The 27,243-nt window shown below is 38.3% G+C and overlaps 1 long non-coding RNA gene across 1 annotated transcript in view; it reads left to right on the forward strand.

Moving 5' to 3' along the window:
• LINC00189 (long intergenic non-protein coding RNA 189) overlaps window positions 1-27,243 on the forward strand; it is a 94,712-nt gene that overhangs the window by 54,068 nt on the left and 13,401 nt on the right. The window lies entirely within an intron of this gene.

Raw genomic sequence — 27,243 nt, forward strand, 5'->3', positions numbered from 1 at the left:
CCACTCCCAAGGCTATGCTTCTGCAGAGAAGAAGTTGGATGTGCTTCTGAGGTATATTTTTTCCCCATCAAGAAATAACACAGGAAATTATAGTAACACATTTTACGTTTAAAATTCATATTTTAAATTGATTGTACAAGGTGAAAATGGGAAATATTTCTTCACTTGTCTTAAGAATGTCCATATGAAGATTTCTCATACTTTAAAATTTTTATGATAAAGGTGAAGAAATGTAGCCAGTAAGCTTTGATTTGACCTCTGGTAACAATGCATGTTTCACCATTTTCCAAACTGGGAAACTGGTTTATGTCCTACCTTTCAATTCCTTATAACTCTACATTTCTTGAGTTAATCAAAAGTAAAAATTGTCCAATGTTATTTCATGTAGTATTCAATTACTATTTCCCATTGACTGTACAATGATTTTTGTTCACATATAGAAAATAGCTAAAAGTGGGATACATATTGTTGAATGATTATTTTTTCTAATAGAACTTTTGTCTTTTGGTTACATGAACTTCTATTTTGAGTTTCCAGATAATTTAATTTTTATTTATCTTTAATTTTTTATTTTTATCTATTATTTTAGTAACAGACATTAAGCTTCCTATTGAACATCTCCTATTTTCAGTCTATTTACTATTAGATACAGAGACACTGAATCTTTATTCATAAGAGGAAGAGCTTATTTCCTCATTTTTGTCATAGTTCCCAAAGTGCTTTTTTTAGATGATTTCGTTTCTTCTTCCAAGAAGAAAATTGGTCAACCTTCCTTTAAAAGTTATATTGTACATCAAGTGTTCTGATGTTTCATTGAGTCATAAATGAGAAACAGAATTTATTATAACATAGCTTTCATTCTGTGTGGAGAGCTGTGTGGGTGGGTATTAGCATTATTTATTTATTTATTTATTTTTTAAAAAGACAAACTCTCCTTTATTCTCCTGTTCCAGATTCTATAAATCTGGAGTTCCATCTGAGCTCCTGAAATCATGTAATTTATATCCATCTCTGCTTTCCTGATAAGAAGGCTATATGCAGAGATTTTTAGAACAAGACTTGTTCAGCTTGAGCTAGAACTAAAATTTTTATTTATTTTCACACTTAAAGTAAACCTTTCCAGCTTTCAAATTTTTTTTCCTATAATCTGATTATTTGGTGAAGAATAAAAATAAGAAGCCAGAACTTTGTTTTTAAAAAGCATTAAGTATGAGTATGTATTTAAAAAAAAAATTCAGTAATGATTGATAGTGATATCTATTTTACCATAGTGACATTGAAGAGGTTTTAATATCTTACTGTATTAGGTATTCTCAAATATTTTCAACTTTAAACCTTCAAAATTCATTCAGAAATTATTTACGTGTCTTCTTTATGATTAGGATTCTGTATAAGAATTCATTTGAAAGAGATTCCCACTTCTTTAAAAATTTGAAACCATCACTTAGAAGACTTTCTTTTTCCATTGTAAAGTACCACATTTTTATTAACAATATTTAGAACACATAAAAGACTTAAAACATGCCAATGATCCCAGCTATACACAACCACTGTTGATGTGTAGTATTTCTTTTTCTTTTCTTAAACATTTTCTCCCCTCTATATGTTTTTACTTATTGATTGGTTAAACTTCAACTTTTATTTTAGACACAGGAGGTCCATGTGCAGATTTGTTACATGGCTATATTTCATCCAGGTAATAAGCATAGTACCTAATAGGTAGTTTTTCAATCCACACTCTCTCCCTCTCCCTCTCCATCTCTAGTAGTCCACAGTGTCTCTTTTTTCCCTGTTTATGTCCATGTGTGCTCAATGTTTAGCTCCCACTTGTAAGTGAGAGCATGTGGTATTTGGTTTTCTGTTCCTGCATTAGTTTGCTTAGGATTATGGCCTCCAGCTCTGTCCATGTTCCTGTGAAAGACATGATGTCATTCTTTTTTATGGCTGCATAGTATTCCATGGTATGTAGGTATTGCATTTTCTTTGTCTAATCCACCACTGATGGGCATCTAGGTTGATTCCATGTCTTTGCTATTGTGAATAGTGTAGTGATGAACATATGAGTGCATGTGTCTTTTGAGTATAATGATCTTATTTTCCTTTAGGTATACACCCAGTAATGGGATTGCTAGGTTGAACAGTAGCTCTGTTTTAAGTTCTTAGAGAAATCTCTGAACTGCTTTCCACAGTGGCTTAACTAATTTTCAGTTCCACCAACAGTGTATGTGTTCTTTTTTCTTTGCAGCCTTCCAGAATTTTCTTTTTGACTTTTTAATAATAACCATTCTGACTGGTTTGTGATGATATTTCACTGTGGTTTTGATTTGCATTTATCTGATGATCTGTGATGATGAGTATTTTTTCATAGTTTGTTGGCTGCTTGTATATCTTCTTTTGAGAAGTATCTGTTCATCTCCTTTGCCAGTTTTTTAATGGAATTTTTTTTTGTTGTTGATTTAAGTTCCTAATAGATTTTGGATATTAGACTTTTGCTGAATGCACAGTTTGCAAATATTTTCTCCCATTCTGTAGGGTGTCTGTTTACTTTATTGGTAGTTTCTTTTGCTTCTCCGTATATATATTTTTAAAACATTTTGATAATTATAGTATATATGTATTTTTCCATGCCTTAATTTTATATGTATTTTCCATAGAATTATTATATCAGTATTATCATATCTCTGGGAAAGAGATAGGTGCCAAGATGGTTTTTCATAGATGCCTAGCTAATTATTTGAAAGTATGATTTGTATATGATTTGATTTGGCAATGGCATGATAATTCATAGAGCTTGTCATCATTAATCCGGAATGCTATCTTTATTATATACTAGATTCTCAAAGGAATTTGGGTCTATTTCTATACTTTGTTTTCTTCTATTGGTTTATCTCTCTGGTGGTAGCAGGCAGATTTGTACGATGATCCCTGCCTCCTGGTATTCATACCCGTGTGTAATCCCCTCCCCTTGAATGTGGGCTGGACCCAGTGATTTGCTTCTAATGAACTGAATACTGAAAAATTGATGAGATGTCACTTCTGCAATTAGATTACAAAAACTGAGACCTCCATCCTACTGGTACTCTGTTGCTCTCTCTCTCGTCCTCTCACTTGCTTGCTCTGCTAAAGCCACCTGCCATGTTGTGAGTTGCCCTGTGGAGAAACTCATGTGCCAAGAGAATGAGCAAGATCGCTAGCCAACAGCTGAGGAGGAACCGAGGTCATCAGTCCAACAGCCTGAAAGGAACTGAATCCTTCCGACAACCAAGTGAGTGAGCTTGGAAGCAGGTCTTACCCTAGTTGAGCCTTGAGATGACTGTGGCCCCAGTAGACACGTTGATTGCAGCCTTGTGAAACACCCATAGTCAGAGAACTCAGCTAAATCATGCCCTGATTCCTGACCCACAAAACTATGAGATAATAGGTGTGTGTTGTTTTAAGCCAATATGTTTTGGGGAAATTTGTTATGCAGCAATAATTAACTAACACAGTAATCCTGCCACAAAATGCTTTAGTTCCTGTAGTCTTATATGCTTTGATATTTGATAAAAATAGTTCTGCCTCATCTTATTTTTTCCACATTTTTTCCATTTAATCTTCCAGGCGAACTTATTATAATTTTTTCAAATACCTCCCGAATTCCTGTTGCTTTTTTTGAATTTTTGAAAGTTGATTTGATAATTTTAGAGTTTTGAGTTTTTCTATATGGGGACATTTACTCAATTCTGCTTTTATGTCTCTTCAGTAAAGTTGTAATATTTTCTTTTTATTTGTCCTGTATGTTAACTGCTAAGATGATTTCTAATTATTTTTGTCTTGTTATTATGGGGTTTTGTTTAATCCTTTTTTTCTTATTATGATTTTGTAGATAGGTAAACTACTCATTTTTGTAAATAACATTTTTAACCAGCCACATTATTTTATCCTTTTACGCAGTCCTGTAATCTCCAAATTATGACAATTATGCATCTTCTTTTCTAGTACATATACTCTCCTTATTTATTTTTATTTGCTTGCATTAAATTTTACTTCCAGAACAATGGACAATAATTGTGATAGCACCATTGTTTCGTTTGTGAAATTTGAATGGAAAATCGAAAGTTTACTGTTAAATTTGTTGCTAGCTTTTGATGTGATTAAGTGTAAGAACTGATCAATTTTGCTTTGTGTCAGAAATGGGTGTTGTATTTTATGTCATTTCTGCATTTATTGAGATATTTACCTGATTTTTTATGTGAACTACTAAAATTAGAAGTTATATAATAGATTCTCTAATGTTCACCAATGTAGCGACTACATAATATTTCATCAGGTGAAAAGCATTATAGCTCATATACCTATGCAAGCCAGTTTTTGCTTTTGTAAACACCTATTTGACAAACATATTTACATAGACAACTTTATCCTTTGTTAAAAATAATAATGGGTAACACATGGAAATGTCTGTATCTCAGGTACTTTACAATCTTTCTATTTACTAACTCATTTTTTAACAATTACAATCACCTTATGAAATAGGTATTATTATGATATCCATTTTACAGATGAGATAACTGAGGCACAGAGAAGTTAAATAACTTGCCCAAGTATATTAGTCCATTTTCACACTGCTGATAAAGACATACCTGAGACTGGGAAGAAAAAGAGATTTAATTGGACTTACAGTTCCACATGGCTGGGGAGGCCTCAGAATCATGGAGGAGGTGAGAGGCACTCTTACATGGCAGAGGCAAGAGAAAAATGAGGAAGATGCAGAAGGGAAAACCTCTGATATAACCATCAGATCTCGTGAGACTTATTCAATACCATGAGAACAGTATGGGGGAACTGCCCCCATTATTCAAATTATCTCCCACTGGGTCCCTCCCACAACATGTGAGAATTACGGGAGTCCAATTCAAGATGAGACTTGGGTGGGGATACAGAATCAACCCATATCATTCCACCTCTGGCCTCTTCAAATCTCATGTCCTCACATTTCAAAACCAATCATGCCTTCCCAACAGTCCCTCAAAGTCTTAAGTCATTTCAGCATTAACCTGAAAGTCCACAGTCCAACTCATCTGATACAAGGGAAGTCTCTTCCACCTATGAGCCTGTAAAATCAAAAGCAAGCTAGTTACTTCCTAGATACAATGGGATACAGATATTGGGTAAATATAGTCATTCCAAATGGGAGAAATTGGCCAGAACAAAGGGGTTACAGGGCCCATGCAAGTCTGAAATCCAGCAGGGCAGTAAAATTTTAAAGCTCCAAAATGATCTCCTTTGATTCCATATCTCACATCCAGGTCATGCTGATGCAAGAGGTAGGTTCCCATAGGCTTGGGCAGCTCTGCCCTTGTGGCTTTGCAGGGTACAACCCCCCTTCTGGCTGCTTTCACGGGCTAGCATTGAGCGTCTATGGCTTTTCCAGGTGCACAGGGCAGGCTGTCATTGAATCTCCCATTTTGGGGTTTGGAGGACAGTAACCCTCTTCTCACAGCTCCACTAGGTGGTGCACCAGTAGGCACTCTGTGTGGGGGCTCTGACTCCACATTTCCCTTCTGTACTGCCCTGGCAGAGATTCTCCATGTGGGCCCCACCTGTGTAGCAAACTTTTGCCTGGGCATCCAGGCGTTTCCATGCATCTTCTGAAATCTAGGAGGAGGTTCCCAAACCTCAATTCTTGACTTCTGTGCAACTGCAGGCTCAACACCATGTGGAAACTGCCAAGGTTTGGGGCTTGCACCCTCTGAAAACATGGGCCAAGCTGTATGTTGGACCCTTTTAGCAATGGCTGGAGTGGCTGTGACACAGGGCACCAAGTCCCTATGCTGCACACAGCATGAGGACCCTGGGCCCAGCCCATGAAACCATTTTTTCCTCCTATGCTTCTGGGTCTGCGATGGGAGGGGCTGCCATGAAAACCTATGACATGCCCTGGAGACATGTTCCCCATTGTCTTGGGGATTCACATTCAACTTTTTGTTACTTATGCAAATTTATGCAGCCAGGTTGAATTTCTCCTCAAAAAAATGGGTTTTCCTTTTCTACTGCATCATCAGGCTGCAAATTTTCTGAGCTTTTATGCTCTGTTTCCCTTTCAAAATGGAATGCTTTTAACAGCACCCAAGTCACCTCTTGAATGCTTCTCTGCTTAGAAATTTCTTTCACCAGATACTCTAAATCATCTCTCTCAAGTTCAAAGTTCCACAAATCTTTAGGGCAGGGGCAAAATGCCACTAGTTTCTTTGGTAAAACATAACAAGAGTCAACTTTGCTCCCGTTCCTAACAAGTTCTTCAGCTCCATCTGAGGTCACCTCAGCCTGCTTCTTATTGTTCATATCACTATCAGCATTTTTGTCAAAGCCATTCAACAAATCTCTAGGAGGTTTCAAACTTTCCTACATTTTCCTGTCTTCTTCTGAGCCCTCTAAACTGTTCCAACCTCTGCCTGTTACCCAGTTCCAAAGTTGCTTCCACATTTTCAGGTATCTTTTCAGCAACACCCCACTCCTGGTACCAACTTACTGTATTAGTCCATTTTCACACTGCTGATAAAGGCATACCTGAGACTAGGAAGAAAAAAAGGTTTAATTGGACTTACAGTTCCACATGGCTGGGGAAGCCTCAAAATCATGGTGGGAGGCAAAAGCCACTTCTTACCTGGTGGTGGCAAGAGAAAAATGAGGAAGATGCAAAAGTGGAGACTCCTGATAAAACCATCAGCTCTCATGAGACTTATTCACTACCACAAGAACAGTATGGGGGAACCACACCCATGATTCAAATTATGTCCCACCAGGTCCCTCCCACAACCTGTGAGAATTATGGGAGTACAATTCAAGATGAGATTTGGGTGGGGACACAGAGCCAAACCATATCACCAAGTAAGTGTCAGAACCAAGATACAAATCAGGTAGACTGGGCCTTGTTACAAACTAGACAATGGCCACTACCACAGTCAAAATATAGAACATTTCCTTCACACCAAAAACTGTCTTCCAGCATTTATGCATTCAGTTTCCTATCCTGCCTAGCTGCAGGCAATCACTGATGTTTGCTTATCTCTATAGATTAGTTTTCTTGGACTTTCCTGTAAATAGAATCACATTGTAAGTCTTCTTTTACATCTAACTTGTTTTGGTCAGTATAATGTTTTTCAGATTCACTCATGTTGTTGCATATATCATTAGTTTGTTCCTTTTCCTTGTTAAATAGTATGCCATTGTATGGATTTACCACAATTAGTTTATCTATTCACCTATAAATGGACACTTTGTTGGTTTTTCATTTTTAACTATTATAAATATAGCTGCTGTGAACATTTGTATACCCGTTTTGTGGACATGTTATTATTTCTTTTGGGTAAATAAGTAAGTGTATAACATGTCTTTGCTTACATCAATACTGGAATGTCTTGACTTCTAAATTCTCATAACCACTCTTCTATTAAATTTTGCTTGTAAAAATATATAAACTACTATTAAAATTTTTAAGTTAATTCTTTTCAGACTCTGTCATCTCAGTGTTGTCATCTATTGCTTGCATTTTTCATTCAGCTCACGGCTTTCCTGGTTTTTTGTGTGACTAGTACTTTTTGATTAAAACCTGGATACTCAGAACACTTTCATCAAAAAACAAAAATTTCACTGCTGCCTATTTATAGTCATTTCCCACTTCTGCACCTAGCCCCAGGCAACCACTGGTCTGCTTTCTGTTTCTATAACTTTGCCTGTTCTAGAGATTTCATATAAAATGAAATCATATAATATACAGTCATTTGTGACTGGGCGCAGTGGCTCACGTCTGTAATCCCAGCACTTTGGGAGGCTGAGGCGGGTGGATCACGAGGTCAGGAGTTCAGCCTGGCCAACATGGTGAAACCCCATCTCTACTAAAAATACAAAAATTAACTGTGCGTAGTGGCACACGTGTGTAATCTCAGCTATTCGGGAGGCTGAGGCAGGAGAATCGCTTGAACCTGGGAGGCAGAAGTTGCAGTGAGCCGAGATCATGCCACTGCACTCCAGCCTAGGCGACAGAGCAAGACTGTGTCTCAAAAACAACAACACAAAAAAAATATATAGTCATTTGTGTCTAGCTTCTTTTACTTAGCGTAATATTGAGGGTCAGCCATGATTTTTCATGAATTAGTAGTCCATCCTTTTTATTGCTGAGTAGTATTCCATTGTATGAATGTACCAAATTGTTTACTTATTTACCATTTGGAGGAGATTTAGGTTGTTTCCAATTTCGGACTATTCTGAGTAATTCTGCTATGAACATTCATATTCATTTCTCTTGAGTAAATACTTAGAGTGAAATTGTTGGTCCTACTGTAAGTATATGTTTAACTTTTTAAAAAACTGCAAAATTGTTTTCCAAAGTGACTGAACCATTTTACATTCTGACTGGCAAGTGTGAATTTCCATTTTCCTTACATTCTCCAGAGGTCGTTTAAGCTAAGTGTGCTGTATCCAATGAGCAATGATTCCTCCTCCTTCTCCTCTCCCCAACTCTTGTCCTCAACCTACTGTTTGCATATACTGCATGGCATGTAGTTAAAATTGCCTACTTTATCCTGCACTGGGGCTTGGTGTTTAGGGGGAGTTCACATTCACTTGCCTACGGGTTGTAGATTTTCCCACACACTTGGCTGAAATTGGTTTGGCCTATTAGCTCTTTGATTCAGTGTTTTTTTCAGGTTCCTCCTTTTTTTGTACTACACCGTTTTCTGCTACCACAATACTTCAAAATCTGACTATGTCATCTGTAATGTTTACTTTTCTGAAGGAAAGGTTCGCCACTCACTTCCTAGATAATATGCAATGATAAAAACTTGGCACAATTTATGACACTGGAACTGGCTACCGTTTTCTACTATGTGTCAATTCCTCTAACTCCAAGAACTGTTGTCCTCCTTTAAATGTATATCTTATGCTGTCCTAAGTTGGCTATGATGTTTGTAATCTGCTAGTACTTGAAGTAGCCATTGGGGCTTATGTAAGAAAGTGGCCTACTACTCACCTGTGGCAGATGGAAAAGAGGGGTACTGCTGCCAAAAAGCCCATCTGCTCCCATTGTCTGTGGACTATTTTCAAAGCAAGAGCTCATATGATTCACAGTCATCATCGCTCTAGGAAAATAAAAAGTTCAGCACATTGGAGCTACCAGCTGTAGGGGAGGGCATCCAATCACTTAGCTTCCCTATCCATTCTAGTGACAAAGGACGCTTTGAAATTATATTTAACAAGATATATTATTTCAGGAAGTAACTATTGCTCTCTAAGCAGCATTTGCCTTAGCAGCCTTGAGCCATATGCTAACATATGAGTGTTGCATAAGTTCATTTTGTGATCTTCGGTGAGTTAGATACTTTCCTAAATCTCCTTGTTAAAAATCTGTGAAATGGGGCTAATTATGCTAACACATCATGGCATGTTTGTAGGATTAGGTACTGACAAGATTTGTAAAGAGATTAGCCAATAAAAATCCTTACCATATATATATGCCTTCTATTTAGAAAAGATACCAAGTTCAAAATATTTTTACTTATTACATGTACAAAAGAAATTAGAATCTTAAGCAAAGAGGCAAGGATGTGACCAACAGGTCACTTTTGAATGATAAAATTTTTGGTTTTGGCTTTCACATAAGTGCACAGACTCTGGCTTCTTCTTGCATATGGTAAATTGTTGTAAATGGTTTATTGAGAATTCTCAACATGATATGGCATAAACAGAAAACTTCTGTTTCAATGACTTCTTTCTCCCCAACTGCACTATAATTACCATCTCCTTTCTTGCTGGGTATATTCACTCTTACCAACATCTTGGTCAGATTTTCTAACTTTTCGCTCTAGGTATTAGCTTGGACCTACTTAGGTACTTGCAAATTATCTGAGACTCTTTTACCATTGATAGGTAGTTTAGGTTTTCTCTCCTTGAGTCTGGGTGAATTTGGGGCTGCTTTAATCATCAGAGAACCACAGAAGTGATACTGTGTGACTTCTAAGGTTAGATCACAATATACTTGGTGACATTTGTTATATATTATATAATATATATATAAACTTCCATATATATATATACATATATATATATATCTCCTATTAGTTCTGTCCCTCTAGAGAACCCTGACTAATACAGCTACCACGAAAATCATCTGTGGTTTTTAAAAACCCAGTGATTTAACTTATGTGCATAATTAATGAATACCTATAATGTCCTGGGTGCTATGGTAGGCCTTTTACCTTTATTATTTAATCTTCATAACATTTATATAAAGCAACTTCTATTACCTGTCTCTTTCAGAGCAGGACACTGATAGTCTGGGAGGTTGCGTAACTTGCCTGAGTGGTGAAGTCAGGACTGCAGGATTTCTGTCTGACCTCGGAACCCATTGTCATTTCTCTATACCACCTGCCTCTTTGTTCAAGAATGTTAACATGTAATTCTCAAATCAAGTTTTTAAAAATACCTTGTTACTTAAATTGTAAAGTGGACAAAAGTCAGAGTTGCTGGAATTTTCCAAGGAAGTGACCTTCATGTTTCCTATTTTGCCACTTTTCTTGGGGTAAATTTATTTTAAACTCCTCTTTAATCCTCACAACGTCCTTATGAAGTATGAAGGAGGAAAATATCATTCTTTTTTCCAAGGACATTAGACTAAAGAACTTTAGAATGTGGCATAGTAGAAAAAGTATAGACTTTGGAGTCAGACAGAAGCTCTAATCCTGACAGATGCTAAAAATCTAAGTACTTTCAGGAAACTTTCTAAATAGTGCTCTTTGGCCAGGTGCGGTGTCTTACGCCTGTAATCCCAACACTTTGGGAGGCCAAGGCAGGCAGATCACTTGAGGTCAGGAGTTCAAGATCAGCCTGGCCAACATGGTGAAACCCCTTCTCTACTAAAAATACAAAAATTGGCCGGGCATGGTGGCATGCGCCTGTAGTCCCAGTTACCTGGGAGGCTGAGGCAGGAGATTCTCTTGAACTCGGGGGCGAAGGTTGCAGTGAGCTGAGAGTGTGCCATTGCACTCCAGCCTGGGCAACAGAGTGAGACTCCACCTCCCCCCGCCAACAAAATAGTGCCTTTACCTGTAAAATGAAAATAATACCACCTCCTTTATAGGATATGAGACTTAATACAATATGATCAAACATGATAAGCGTCTGTCTTGGAGCCTAGTTCACAAGAGAAATCCATTAAATGTTAGTCCTTCTTTGCCTATTGCAGCCACAATTATTTTACTAACCCTGAGACATTCAAGTGAGGCTGAGTATGAATCACACAGGAAAAATGCTAAGAGCTAGTCCTGTTTTGAGGTAATTTGATCAGTTATACATAAAGTGATGCTGTGCAATGGTACTCACAAACATGGGACACCCCAAATCAATATGTTTAGTGAATATTTAAAATACAATTCCAAAAGTTTAGGAGAGAAGGGGCAAGAAGATACATAGATGATAGAGAATGGGAGAAACCTAGGACTTGTTATCGATTGCAGGAATTGTGATTTCTTTCTGTTGGAATGAGCCAAGGGAAGGGGAAGAAAATTCATGGAACAGGAGATTGGAATTTGGGTGCAGCCTCCTGGCACGTGCTCATCCTGTTCTTCCAATTTCTGGAGGCTGTGCCTACGTGCCTTTTGCCTGTTGCATACCTCGCATCAGTCAGCTCTCTTTGTTTTATTATAGAAAATTGTGCAATCCTTTCTGGTTTGTTTTTGTTAGGATTTCCTTCCCTTTATCTCTAGCAGGAAAATATTATCCCTTGAAATTTCCTCTGGGACATGATTATTTACAGTAAACTACAATTTAGTGAATTCTTGAGGATTTCTTCTTGATGTATCCTCTTTTTTATTTTTCATTCTTAAATGCCTTTTGTTTTTGGCTGCTTCTCTCTTGAGTGTTTTGTATATATTTTGAAAAATACCTACCGGCAGCTTGTATATCTTTTTTCCAAAACCTCTCCAAAGTATTTAAGAAGATATCTTCCATATATATCTTTTGTATATACAAATATATATATTATTTACATATAATATATATTTCATCAGACATATAGTATTTGTGCATCATTATTTTTGTGCATCACAGCTTTATATCTTATATATTTAAGATAATAATCTGCATCATCTGGCTAGCTTCACTGCTCAGGGGATGGTCAGCTCAGTCCAGATCAGTGTAATCTCTTGCTCCAGTTACCAGATCAGCCTCCTGTCTAGTCTTCCTGGTCCTGGATTTGCTCACCTTCCCATCTTCCACACACTGAAGGCAGACAAGTCGTCTTCTGAAGAGAAAACCTGATCATATCTGCTTAGTATCTTTCAATAGGGTCATCAGACTCAGGGAAGCATGATCTGGCCCCTACCTGTCTCTCCAGCCCATCTCATGAGCTCCCACCCCATTCTATGCCTGGCCATAATGCTGACTTAAGAGTTACCTGAAGAATGTTTTCCTCTTTCTCCCCTCCTACCCTCTGCACTTGTTACTCTCTCTGCCTTGGGAAGCTCATCTTCACCCTGTAGCTACTTTTGGCCTGTTTAATTCCCACTCATTGTTTAGGACCTTTGTTTTGTGCTGCTCTAACAGAATACCATAGATGGGATAATGTTTAAATGAACAGAAATTTATTTCTTACATATCTGGAGGCTGGGAAGTCCAAGATCAAGTGCTTGCATCTGATTGAAGGTCTTCTTGCTGTGTCTTCACAATAGTGAGGCCCAGGGAGAGAGAGAGAGAGAGAGAGAGACCTGAACTCACCATTCTATAATGATCACACTCCAGCAATATGACACTCATTAATCCATTCATTAGGGTAGAGCTCTCATGCCTAATCACCTTTTAATGGTCCCCCTCTTAATACTGCTAAAATGGCAATTACATTTCAACATGAGTTTTGGAGGGGGTAAATATTCCAACCATAGCAAGACCCAACTTAAGCATGACTTCTTTCTGGAAGCCTTCTCTAATGTCCCTAGACTGATTTTGTGCTGTTTTATTACTCCTATTTTCTATGCCTATCATGATACCATACTCTTTTCAAATTATTTGACTGCCACATTAGGGCAGGGCCCTGGCCTGATGAGGTACGTACTCAATAAATATTTGTTAACTGAGTGAGTGAATGAATGAAGACAATGCCTTGAGGCAGTGTTGCTCAAAGGTTAAGGAAGCTGGAGTGAGGTGGTCTTGGTTTGGATCCTGGTTCTACGCCTAACTAACTGTGAGACTTCTGGCAAGTTATTGCATCTCAGTTTCTTAACCAGTAACATGGGGATTATAACAGGAAACATCTCATTGAATTATTTTGATTAAATGTTAATAGATATAAACAGAATGGTACTTACACAGAATACAGTTTCAGGTGTTAGCTATTATTATTATTATTATTGCCTAAATATTAATCTGGCAACTTAATAGCCAAAGTGGAGGCGTAGCACCTGACACAGTTTATGAGGAATCGTCCACTCTTAGCTCCATGAGGGATTCACAAGAATTGATTTTTTTAAACTGCTGGATTTCTACAACAATGTTGTAAATGATTTTAAAAGGTATCCTATATTATAATTTAATATTACAGTTATGGAGAAGACAACTCATATCATTGCTTGAAGGTTTTTAATATGTGCTGGATAAGTATGTTTTAAGGAATTAGCATCTATTATAGGCTGAATTTTCAGTTAACACAGTCTTGACGACAGACAGAAATCCATGTTAAATAACGTTCTCTAAAAACTATATTTAAGATACCAGAAATTAGGTAGAGGAAACTGTAGAATTTTTCAAATAGAAAATACTGATTAAGACTTAGATGAAAACTGTTAGAAAGGTCATAAATTAGAGAAAAATCATGTTTCACTTGAGTCAACAACAATGGTGTGATTAACACTTTTTTTTACTGGGTCCAGAAATGAAGGAGGAGGGAAGGAGAGAGAGAGGGAGGGAGGGAAGGAGGTAGAGAAGGAGGGAGAGAGAGAGAGAAAAAAAAAACTTGGAAGGAGTATTTTCCATCACAAATTATAGGGAGTAGCTATCAATCACACTTTTTAAGGAAATCAAAGGTGGGATAAAAGTGCTTGCAGGGTCTTTGGATACAAAGATGGTGAGAAGCCAGATAAGCTTTGAGAAGCTCAATCTTCAAATTACGAGATTCAGCATGAATTAGATTGACTTGAACCAGGGGAAAAACCAGGATTAGGTTAAGCAGTGATTCAGAAATGTTCAGTTAGTAACTGAGACAACTCTATGTAGGTACTAACATAAATGATATTGAATGTTTGAGTGTCATCTTCTTTAGGATTTATGTTTTTGTTATTTTGGCAAAATAGCATTAACTAAATGGAAACCATACTGTATTTTATTTTCTTCATTTTAGTTACTTCTGCCCATAGCAAACAGCTTTTTGGATTGAGAGGCAGTGTTAAATGTAACATCGGCTACAGGAATAAACAAGAGTTCCTGCCCTTGCCTTGAGGCAGTGTAGCTTGAGTCAGACAGCCTGCGTCTGGGTTCTACTGCAAGTCAGTACAGGCATACCTCGAAGATATTGTGGGTTTGGTTCCAGACCACCATAATAAAGCAAATATCACAATCAAGCAAGTCATATAAATTTTTCCATTTTCCAGAGCATATAAAAGTATGTTTACGATATATTATAGTCTATTAGGTGTGCAGTAGCATTGTCTAAAAATGTACATACCTTATTTAAAAAATATTTTATTGCCTAACAAGGCTATCACCTGAGCTTTCAGTGAGTTGTAATCTTTTTGCTGGTGGAATGTTGATCAGGGTGGTGGTTGCTGACTCTTAAAATAAGACATTTGAAGTTGGCCTCATCAGTTGACTCTTCCTTTCACGAAAGATTTCTCTGTAGAAAATGTTGTTTGATAGCATTTTACGCACAGTAGAACTTATTTCAAAATTAGAGTCAATCCTCTCAAACTTTGTCACTGCTTTATCAGCTACATTTATGTAATATTCTAAGTCATTTGTTGCCATTTCAATAATGTTCACAGCATCCTCACCAGGATTAGATTTCACTGGAAACCACTTTGCTCACCCATAAGAAGTAACTCCTTATCCATTCAGGTTTTATCACGAGATTGCAGCAATTCCGTCACATCTTTAGCTTCGACCTCTAATTCTAGTTCTCTTATTTCCACCACATTTGCAGTGACTTCTTCCTCTGAAGTCTTGAACCCCTCAAAGTCATGCATGAGGGTTAGAATCAACTTCCAAACTCCTGTTAATGTTGATATTTTGACCTTCTCCCATGAATCATGAATGTTCTTAATGACACTTAAAATGAAGATTTTTTTTTTTCCAGAAGATAGTCAATTTATTTTTCCCAGATCTATCAGAGAAATCACTATCTATGGCCGCTATACCCTTATGAAATGTATTTCTGAAATGATAAGACTTGAAGATTACAATTATTCCTTGATCCAAGGGCTGCAGAATGGATGTGGTGTCAGCAGCATGAAAACATTATTCTCCTGTACATCTCCATCAGAGCTTTTGGGTGACTGGATGCATTGCCAATAAGCAGTAATGCTTTTAAAAGAATCCCTTTTTTGAGCAGTAGGTCTCAACAGTGAGTTGTGGGCTTCAAATATTTGATAAACCATGGTGTTACCAAATATGCTGTTATCCAGGCTTTGTTGTTCCATTTATAGAGCATAGGCACAGTAGATGTAACATAATTCTTAAGAGCTGTAGGGTTTTCAGAATGGTAATGAGCATTGGCTTTAACTTAGAGTTGCCAGCTGCATTAGCCTATCTTTTGAATTTTTGAAGCCAGGCACTGACTTCTCTTTAGAAGTCCTAGATGGCATCTTCTTCCAGTAGAAGAGTGTTTCATCTACATTGAAAATCTGTTGTTTAGCTTAGCCACTTTCATCAATGATCTTAGGTAGCTCTTCTGGTTAACTTGCCACAACTTCTACATTAGCACTCACTGCTTCACCTTGTACTTTATATTATAAAGAAGGCTTCTTTCCTTAAAAATCATGAAGCAATCTCTACTAACTTCAAACTTTTCTTGTACGGCCTCCTTATTGCTCTCAGCTTTCATAAAGTTAAAGAGAGCTGGGGTCTTTCTCTGGATTAAACTTTGGCCTGAGGGCATGTTGTGGCTGGTTTGATCTATCCAGACTATTAAAACATTCTCCATGTCAACAATGCATCTGTTTTGTTCTCTGATCATTCTTGTGTTCACTGGAATAGCATTTTTAATTTCCTTCAAGAATTCTCCCTTTGCATTCACAACTTGGCTGTTTGGTGCAGAAACCTAGCTTCTGGCCTATCTTGACTTCCAACATGCCTTTCTCACTAAGCTTATTAATAATGTCTAGTTTTTGATTTAAAGTGTGAGATATGTGACTCTTCCTTTCACCTGAACACTTGAGTGTTGAACACTAAGTGTTCACTTGAACACTTTGAGGCCATTGTGGGGTTATCAATTGGCTTAATTTCAATATTGTGTCTCAAGGAACAGGGAGGCCTGAAGAGAGGGAGAGAGGTGGGAAACAGCCAGTTGATGGAGCAGTCAGAACACAAACATTTATTAAGTTTGCCTTCTTATATGGGCGGGGTTTGTGGCATCCCCAAACAATTACAATAGGAACATCAAAGATAACTGCTCACAGATCACCATAACAGATATAATAATAACGAAAAAGTTTGAAATATTGCTAGAATTACCAAAATGTGACACAGAGGCACAAAGTGAGCACATGCTGTTGGAGTAATAGCATCGATAGACTTGCTCAACACGGGGTTGCCACAAACCTTTAATTTGTAAAAAGCGCAGTATCTGCGAAGCACAATAAAGCGAAGCGCAAGAAAACAAGATATGCCTGTAGTTTGAAGGACATTTTCACCTTCTCATATATGTACTATATTTATTAAGCCAAGATTATCTGGTAAGAAAACATATTTCATTTTATAAATGTCACAATTCATGACAGATACTTTCATAGTTAATGAGAGTTTACAGTACATGTGACTATTTAGATAAGGCACTTATTTTTGACACTGTGTTTTATGTTACAAGTATTGTAGTTTCACAACACGCAATAAGGTGGTCCCCTGACCTTGCTATGCCAAGGAATCTGAAATAAGCTTGACCTTGCTTTATAATCCTATTCTTCTCTCCATCTCCTACTTTAAAAGAAGGATTACACTGCATTACAATAAAATGAACTGATATATAAAGAGTACATAGCCAGGTGGTGGCACATAGAAAATGATCAGTGGACATTATCTGCTCTTACTGTTGTTAGTGGAAGAGGTATGTGTCTTTGAAATATGCTGGATGCTTTGCTGAGTCGTTTATAGTGATCACATCTACTCCTCAAAAGAACCATGGGAAATAGGTGACATCATTTCCATTTCTAGATGAAGAAACTGGGCTCAGAGAAGTTCAGAATTTGTCCTAGAGAGTGGGGGGCAGAGCCAGCATTTAAGCCAGACTGGTCCAATTTTGAAGTACTTCCACTCCTCAGTGATGATTTCTGTACTGCCAAAGAAGACCAAGCAGAGGTTAGTATGGTGGGGAGGGGTAGGGTGTGTGCATAGAAAGATGTTCTCCAGTTCTTTCTCCAGTTACCAGGTTGTGGATTGAATAATGTGATTAATATACTGGAATTCATTTTGTATATAGTTACATATATAATATATATTATATATTTATATGTATACATCTTTTCCCAATGAAAGAAAAACATACATTTTACTTAAATTTCCACATCTATTTTTCCTATTATTTCATTATAAATGTGTTCATTAAATATTCTTTGATCACAAGATTTAACACATCACATGTAAACAGCAACAAACCTGTAAACAAGAACTATTTAAGAGGTAAATTTAGGTCGGTGTGGTGGCTCACGCCTGTAATCGCAACACTTTGGGAGGCCAAGGTAGGTGGATCACTTGAGGTCAGGAGTTCGAGACCAGCCTGGCCAACATGGTGAAACCCCATCTGTACTAAAAATTCAAAAATTAGCTGGGTGTGATGGCAGGTGCTGTAATCCCAGCTACTCAGGAGGGTGAGGCAGGGGAATCACTTGAACCCAGGAGGTGGAGGTTGCGGTGAGCTGAGATCACGCCAGCCTGGGTGACAGAGGGAGACTCTGCCTCAAGAGAAAAAAAAAGAGGTAAATGTAATACTTTTTGATTAACATGTGATACGGTTTGACTTTGTCCTCATCCAAATCTCTCCTTGAATTGTAATAATCCCCATGTGTCAAGGCCAGGCCAGGTGAAGATAATTGAATGATGGGGGCGGGGGTTTCCCCCATGCTGTTCTTGTTGTAGGGAATAAATCTCACGAGATCTGATGGTTTTACAAAGGGGAGTTCCCCTGCACATGCCCTCTTGTCTACTGCCACGTAAGATGTGTCTTTGTTCTTCCTCCACCCTTCTGCCATGATTGTGAGGCTTCCCCAGCAATATGGAATTGTGAGTCAATTAAACCTCTTTCCTTTATAAATTACCCAGTCTTAGGTATGTCTTTATTAGCAGCATGAGAACAGACTAATACAACATATTAAAACCTCACTGATGTAAATCCTAGACATTTTGATTTGAAATGAAACTTCCAACTTCAAACCTGACTGCATGTTAGGTTTGCCTGGCAGCTCTGGGACTATGGGGACAACAACCATCACCACCACCCCATGCCTGGGACTCAGCCGCAAAGATGGTGTTTTAACTGATGGGGGAGTTGATACTGTTTGAAACCTCCCCAGGGGATTCTAATGAGTCATCAGGGCTGGGAATCACTGGCCTAAAAAAGTAGAAGCACCTACTTGAATGGGACAATAAATACTTGCTGAAACAGATTAAGTACTCAGTACTTTAAAACCAATGCCCTTGGTCGGGTGTGGTGGCTTGTTTCTGTAATCCCAGCACTTCAGGAAGCTGAGGCAGGTTGATCACTTGAGATCAGGAGTTCGAGACCAGCCTGGCCAACATGGTGGAACCCTGTCTCTACTAAAAATACAAAAATTAGCTGGGCCTGGTGGCGGACACCTGTAGTCCCAACTTCTCAGGAGGCTGAGGCAGGAGAGTCACTTGAACCTGGGAGGCAGAGGTTGCAGTGAGCCAAGATCACACCACTGTGCTCCAGCTGGGGTGACAGAGTGAGACTCTGTCTCAAAAAAAAAAAAATCAATGCTCTCATCTGCACAGCATCCATGAAAGAATTTTCCTTTGGTCTTTAACCTTCCTCAGATGCTATCTCCTTCTCCAGACCTATTTGTCTCTAAAGAGTAGAGGCTGCTCAAAGTTTCTATTTCCTCCACTTCTTAATCCATCTCAAACAACAGTCATGATCTCCATCCTCCTGCAACTGATCTTATCAAGCCTCAATCAGTAATTCATTTACTGTATCTTAATATGTAATTTATAACTAATATATAACATCAATGTATATTGAAGACCTACCTGAAGACTGCAGTGGGTCATAAGAGGGCTATTGAATGCCTGAGTCTCTAGGAATTGATAAGATTATAGAGTTGAACAAAGATTTTAAAATTACCTTGTCCTGTGCTTCTCAAGATAATTTCATTTAGAGTGACACATCCCTTTATTTGGGAAGCTTATTTGAAATGTCAGCAGGTAATAAAAGAGAGGGTGGGGCTACTTTGTGTGGTATTGATGGTGGGGACAGAGCCCTGATTGCTGGGTTCTGTCCACCTTTCTGTCCACTGTTCCCTCAGAGATAGCCCTTAGAGATCTCCACAGACCCTCTGCATCTCTGCAAAGGACAGTTTGGAAACTACCCATCTAGTCTTGATCCCTTTCAGATACAACACAGGATATGTCTGCCACCTTAAGAAGCTTCTAGGTTTTCTTTCTGTTTCTTTTTTTCTTTTTTGAGATGGAGTCTCACTCTGTTGCCCAGGCAGTCTCCCAAGTAGCTGAGACTACAGGCGCCGCCACCATGCCCAGCTAATTTTGCTGAGACTACAGGTGCCTGCCGCCATGCCCAGCTGATTTTTGTATATTTAGTAGAGATGGGGTTTCATCGTATTGGCCTGGCTGGTCTCGAAATCCTGACCTTGTGATCCCCCCACCTCGGCCTCCCAAAGTGCTGGGATTACAGGCGTGAGCCACCATGCCTGGCCACTTCCAGGTTTTATAAGTAAAACACCTGTCAGTGTTAAAAACATTATAACTTATGAGCTCCCATTTACAATGTGTTTATTATTTGGCAGTCACCTTTCTATGTCACATGTAGTGACTTGTTTGGTCTCACAACAGTACTGTGACTGCAGTTATTATCACTCCCATTTTATTGATGAGTACACAGAAGCAGGAGGCTTTAATCTGCTTGCCAGTCACAGCTGGGGAATGTACTTATGAGCCCATGCTCTTAACTGGTAACACTTTGCCTTGTATTAATATATACAAGGATTCTGTCTGGTAGCCTGCACCACACAGACACCATGTCTTTGTGCATATACATTATTTAACCAACAGATCTTTAGTACTGGTGGCTCATTATTCATTAGTGGCAGATACTGTAGATACAGGAGTTAATGCCATGCTAGGAAGACAGACAACACACCTGTAAACAAATAAGGAAATAAGATGATGCAGTAGGGAAGAGCAAAGAAGAATATATGACGGTGAAGCCACAGGAGTTACCAGGGTGACGGTGCATCTTACTTCCTACAGGCTTGCTAGAACCTTGCCGCTCAAAGGGTGTCCAGCAGCCGGGGAGGATTGTGTCATATGAAAGGTTGTTAGAAACAAAGAATCTGGAGAATCACCTGAGACTTACCCCAGATTCAGAATCTGCATTTTAAGAAGCTTCCCAAGTGATTCATGTGCACATTAAAATGTGAGGGGCACTGAACAGCAGAGGGCATGTTTCTGTTGCTAACAGCCAAGATTCATTCTTTCTCTCCCCTGACCATTCACACACACACACAAACACAAAATATATGTACATAAATAAAAAATATGGACTTTGCATTTTGAAATGTTACATTGTAATATAAGAACAGTCCTGGCCGGGCGTGGTGGCTCACGCCTGTAATCCCAGCACTTTGGGAGGCCAAGGTGGGTGGATCACAAGGTCAGGAGTTTGAGACCAACCTGGCCAATATGGTGAAACCTCGTCTCTACTAAAAATACGAAAATTAGTTAGGCGTGGTCGCAGGCACCTGTGGTCCCAGCTTGGGAGGCCCAGGCAGGAGAATCGCTTGAACCCAGAAGGTGGAGGTTGCAGTGAGCCGAGATTGCACCACTGCACTCCAGCCTAGGTGACAGAGTGAGACTCTGTCTCAAAAATAAAGAAAAAAAAACCAAAATTCCTAATTTTATTTGCAGTGTATTCTCAGAAACTTCATCATTTAAAAACAGTATGTTATTAGACTAATGATATAATTGGGGGTTATTTGCTGATTCAACATGAAATAATTCATAGCACTGACTAAAAGGAACATAAAAGAAAAGCTAAGTAAAATTTCTATATATTCTTTTAAAATATGAAATTTAATGCTTCAACTCCAATAAAATGAGTAAAAAATACACTGTAAAGTTAAGTATATAAAGAACTTCAATTTGCTGTAAAAAAGATATATAGTATATAAATATGATTCCAGTGTAAATTTGCTTTAAATTAGGATGCCAATTATAAGCATTATTTAAACATTTAATTAAAATGACTGTATTTGCATTTTGATAAGAAAATTCATAATTTTCCAGGCCACTTTTATTTATTCGTTTATTATTTTTATAAAATTGTTTAAATTTTTAATATTTTGATACATAGTAGGTGTTTATGGGGTACATGAGGTGTTTTCATACAGGCATCCAATGTGAAATAATCACATCATGGAGAACGGGGGATCTATCCCCTCAAACATTTATCCTTTCAGTTACAAACAATCCACTTAAACTCTTTTAAGTTATTTTAAACTGTACAACTAAGTTATTATTGACTATAGTCACCCTGTTGTGCTATCAAATAGGTGTTATCCCCACTACTTTATTTGTATCCATTAAACATCTCCACCTCCCTCACCCACCAGTACCCTTTCTAGCCTCTGGTAACCATTTTTCTGCTCTCTATGTCCGTGAGTTCAATTGTTTTTATTTTCAGATCCCACAAATAAGTGAGAACATGTGACATTTGTCTGTCTGTTGTCCAGGCCACATTTAAAGACCATCTAGTTTTATTTCAACACATACAACCTTTTTCTCTGAGGACAAGTAACACTCAGAATCATCCTGATTATCTTAGAGTTTTCAGAAACTAGTACTCAGAGTACTGAGGTGTTATTTCAGCAAAGGTTGGTGGCACTTTTCTTACTAAAGACACTTAGAAAATAGAAACCACCCCAAATACCCCTACTTGGCACTGCCCAGCCTTTTCAGTTTCCTCAGAGATTTTGTATAGCAAAGGTCAATCAGAAGCCACTGGGGGAAGAAAAAAAAAAACTACCAAGGGACTCAAGTCCTTTCAAAGCCAGCTGAACAATCATCATCCCAAACAATAATCCCAGTTTGCCTAGGACTTTCCTGGGTTTAGCACTGAAAGTCCCAATTCCCAGGAACCCTCTCAGTTCCTGGAAAACTGGAATGGTTGGTCTCTCTAGGTCACTGGTACGGTTAGGCTTTCTATCCCCACCCACATCTCATCTTGAATTGTAATTCCCATCATCCCCATGTGGCAAAGGAGAGACTAGGCGGAGGGATCATGGGGGCGGTCTCCCCCATTCTGTTCTCGTGATAGTGAGTTCTCACAAGATCTGATGGTTTTATAAGGGGCTCTTTCTCCTTTGCTCAGCACGTCTCCTTCCTGCCATCTTGTGAAGAAGTGCCTTGCTTCCCTTTCACCTTCTGCCATGATTGTAAGTTTCCTGAGGCCTCTCCAGCCATCCTGAACTGTGAGTCAATTAAACCTCTTTCCTTTCTAAATTACCCAATGTTAGGTAGTTCTTTATAGCAGTATGAAAACGGACTAATACAGTCACTAAAGATTAATTTTTAAAAATGGGTTTCACAGAATTGTGACACAATATTGGGTTTTATTTTGCTACTTGCAAAGAAAATCCTCCCAAAATATTAAAACTCAACACCAAAGAGTATCAAATGTTAATTTAATAGTATCAAATGAATAGAACATGTATCTGGTAAAAAGAAAAACAGAAATTGCCATCGCCTTTTTCTTCCCTTTCTTAATATTGTGTTATAGCCTGTTTGGGAGAAAGCAGAAAAATAGACATTGCCTTTATGATTCACTAAACCACTGAGCTCCAAAATGGAGGTAAATGAAGCCAATATTAACAGTTCTATTTTTATTGATTTAATTTTGCTAAAACTGAATAATAGAAATTATGCTTTACTCATGTGTAATATACAGATTGATACTAGTGTCTTCAGTGGACCAGTAAGTCAGAATGCATACTTCTGGAGGGAGGATGGGGTGACATCGGTTCCTTCTGCCATTGGTTTATTTCTGAGAATCTTAGGGTGTATTATCAGTGACGTACTATACGAGGTCACCTTTGTGTTAATTTATAAAAATGAGACCTTTGAATATGTGATACTTTTTGAGATGGAATGTATTAATCAGCTTTTACTGTGTAACAAAGCATTTGAAAACTTAGTGGCTTGAAACAACAACTTTTATTCTTTTTTTTTTTTTTTGAGATGGAGTTTCACTCTTGTTGCCAGGGCTGGAGTGCAATGGCACCATCTTGGCTCACCGCAACCTCCGCCTCCTGGGTTCAAGTGATTCTCCTGCTTCAGCCTCCCAAGCAGCTGGGATTACAGGCATGCGCCACAATGCCCGGCTAATTTTTTTTGTTTTTAGTAGAGACAGGGTTTCTCCATGTTGGTCAGGCTGGTCTTGAACTCCCGACCTCAGGTGATCCACCCGCCTTGGCCTCCCAAAGTGCTGGGATTACAGGCGTGAGCCACCACGCCCTGCCAACTTTTATTCTTTCTCATGATTCTGTGTGAAGCCTGAACGAAAGCTGAGTGGTTCTTCTGATGTCCTTGTTTGAGGTGGGTTAAACTAGGACGACTTTATTACTTTATTAGTAAGTATGGCGGGCTGGGAGTGCTGGGACAATCCCCTATGCCACATGATCTCTCATCCTCTACCAGACTAGTCTAGATTTCTCTTTTTTCTTTTTGAGATGGAGTCTTACTCTCACCCAGGCTGGAGTGCAGTGGTGCAATCTCCACTCACTGCAACCTCTGCTTCCCAGGCTCAAGCAATTCTTCTGCCTTAGCCTCCTGAGTAGGTGGGATTACAGGGGCACACCACCACGTCCAGCTAATTTTTGTTTTTTTTTTTAATAGAGACAGGGTTTTACCATGTCAGCCAGGCTGGTCTCGATTTCCTGACCCCAGGTGATCTGTCCGCCTTGGCCTCCCAGAGTGTTGGGGTTACAGGCATGAGCCACCACACCTGGCCTAGTCTGGATTTCTTCACTTGCCGATTAATGAAGAGCAAACAGCAGAAAGAGAGAAAGCCACACGCCCTTTTCGAGCCTTTGCTTGCATCACGTTTGCTAATGTCTCATTGGCTAAGGCAAGTCACATGGCCAAGCCCAGGTTCAAAGGTTAGAGAAAAATACTCCGCCTTTTTCTTGTAGGGTCTGCAAAATCACATTGCAGGAATGGGTAGAATTTATGGCTATGTTGCAAGCAATCACAGAAGTGGAACTAGTAAACCATTAAAATGTTTTGCAACCCAGAAGTTCCTGGCTCAATTTCTGGCAAAGCATTTAAAAGATGTATTAAAAGATGGCATGCATGATACAAACAATCCAAATTTGCTGACTTTTTCTGTAAAGATAAATGGCTGTTAGAATCATGTTATGGAGCAAATATTTTGAGCAAATAAACACAGTCTGTCCTTTCAAAGTAAATATGACATTTCAACAATGTGTAAGAAAGCACTAATTTTTCAAAAGAAAATTATGGAAAAAAAAAGCCTTTCAAAATAGTTTGAAAATATTTCCAATGTGAACTTATTCTGTTTTAAAAATGGATGTTAATTAATCCTGTAATGCCAGCACTTAGGAGGGCTTAGGCAGGAGGATTGCTTAAGGCCAGGAGTGTCAGATCAGCCTGGGCAGCATAGAGAGGCCCCCAATCTCTACTAAAAATTTTAAAAAATTCACCAGGCATGTGGTGCGTGCTTGTAGTCCCAGCTATTCAGGAGGCTGAGGTGGAAGGATAGCTTGATCCCAGGAGTCTGAGGCTGCAGTGAGGCATGATTGAGCCACTGTACTCCAGCCTGGGCAACAAAGTGAGACCCTGTCTCTAGAATCTTTTTTTTTAAAAAAGGATATTGGATTATGCAAGAAAATCCAAGACATTCCCACCACTTATAGTTGTACTTTTTAAATGGATGTATTTTTTTTTTTTTTTTGAGACAGAGCTTCGCTCTGTTGCCCAGGCTGCAGTGCAGTGGCACAATCTCAGCTCACTGCAACTTCCACCTACTGAATTCAAGCGATTGTTGTGCCTCAGCCTCCTGAGTAACTGGGACTACATGCATGTGCCACCACACCCAACTAATTTTTGTACTTCTTAGTAGAGATGGGGTTTTGCCATGTTGGCCAGGCTGGTCTCTAACTCTTGGCCTCAAGTGATCTGCCCACCTTGGCCTCTCAAAGTGCTGGGATTATAGGCATGAGCCACAGTGCCTGGCCAAGGAACAGTAGATTAACATGAGATTAAACATGCCACATATTTTTAGGTTATCAATTATACTCAAAGATTCATAATAAAATATATTGACACAAAATAGTTATATATTGGAGTAACAGGCAAAAATAAAAAAGCAACATTTACAATGAAACATGAAACTTCAAATGAATTCTGAAGTTTTTGCCATATCTTCAGACTTGGTGAGGAGATGTGGGAATAGGTATAAGGTGAGACAAACTGCATTTTTATGTTTCTCTATCACTAGGGGTTCCTTCCCAGAAAAGCTTGTTTGAGATGTACTATCACCCTATAGGGAACTATCCTTACATATGTAATATCTTGGAATTGTCTGTTTGCCTATATGTTTTAGATACAATTTTTCTTTTAGTTTAGATTATGTTCTCCAGGACAGGGTTATATTTCTTAATTACTTTTTAGGATAATATAAGGTCATTATAGTTTTTAATTAATAAAAATTAAAAGTCTTGAAAATCTTTTGAAGTTTTAGTGGGGAGGTAAACAGGTGCAGTAACTTTGGAAAACAGATGGATATTCATATACCAGGTGAGTTAGCAGTTTTATTCTTAGGAATATATGAGAAGCTCTTGCACATGTTTAAGACTGGTCACAGCAACACTGTTCCTAAAAGCAAAAACCTGGAAAGAACTCAAATGCACATCAACAGGAGTGTGGATTCAAGAATTGTTGTGTAATCACACAATGAAATATTACATAGCATTCTTACCTAATAAGACACTACAATACCCACAATTGGATAAATCTTACAAATATTAGGTTGGAGCAAAAGTAACTGTGTTGTTTTCTATTAAAAGCAATGACGAAAACCGTAATTACTTTTGCATCAACTTAATATACTATCCAATGGAAAAAAGTTATCAGGACACTATCTATAGCATACTACCTTTACATAATATAAATGCTGGTCCCTGTATATCAATGTGTCACTGAGTTTTGCAGTTTTGGTAGGTCACACAATAGAAATGAAAGGGTTAGTTTAAATATCTAACTTGTAACACAAATAGCTTTTTTTAGGCATATTAAAACTTTTACTAAAAAGAAAAAAGATTTAAACGTGTTAGAATGGATATAGCAAATTATGGATTTTATGTTTTTAGTGAATTTAATAATAAATAAATACAAGTATATAGATTTATGTTTATATATAGGTAAAAATTAAAAGAGCAAAACAATATTTTTGTTGAATTGAACGTAATATAATTTTAAAAACTGATACTCTCCTGATGTAGTACTTAAGCATTAGATTCCAATTAAGGTTCATGGTAGCCAGCCTCCAAGATGGCCCTGAGTGATCCTGAACTCCTCATGTTCATGCCCTTTTGCAGTACCCTCCTACTTGGATTAGGATGGAGTTTTGTAGCTATAGGATATTGTGGAAATAACCATGTGTGACTTCTGAAGCTAGACTGTGAAAAGACAATGCAGCTTCTGTCTTGCTCTGTCTTGGGTCTCTCACTTTTATGGGGAGCCAGTCACTATATCATGAGGATTCTCAAGCAGCCCATGGGGAAGCCCAGAAGAGGAGGA

The sequence above is a fragment of the Homo sapiens genome, chromosome 21, assembly GCF_000001405.40.
Source record: "Homo sapiens chromosome 21, GRCh38.p14 Primary Assembly".
Taxonomy (NCBI): domain Eukaryota; kingdom Metazoa; phylum Chordata; class Mammalia; order Primates; family Hominidae; genus Homo; species Homo sapiens.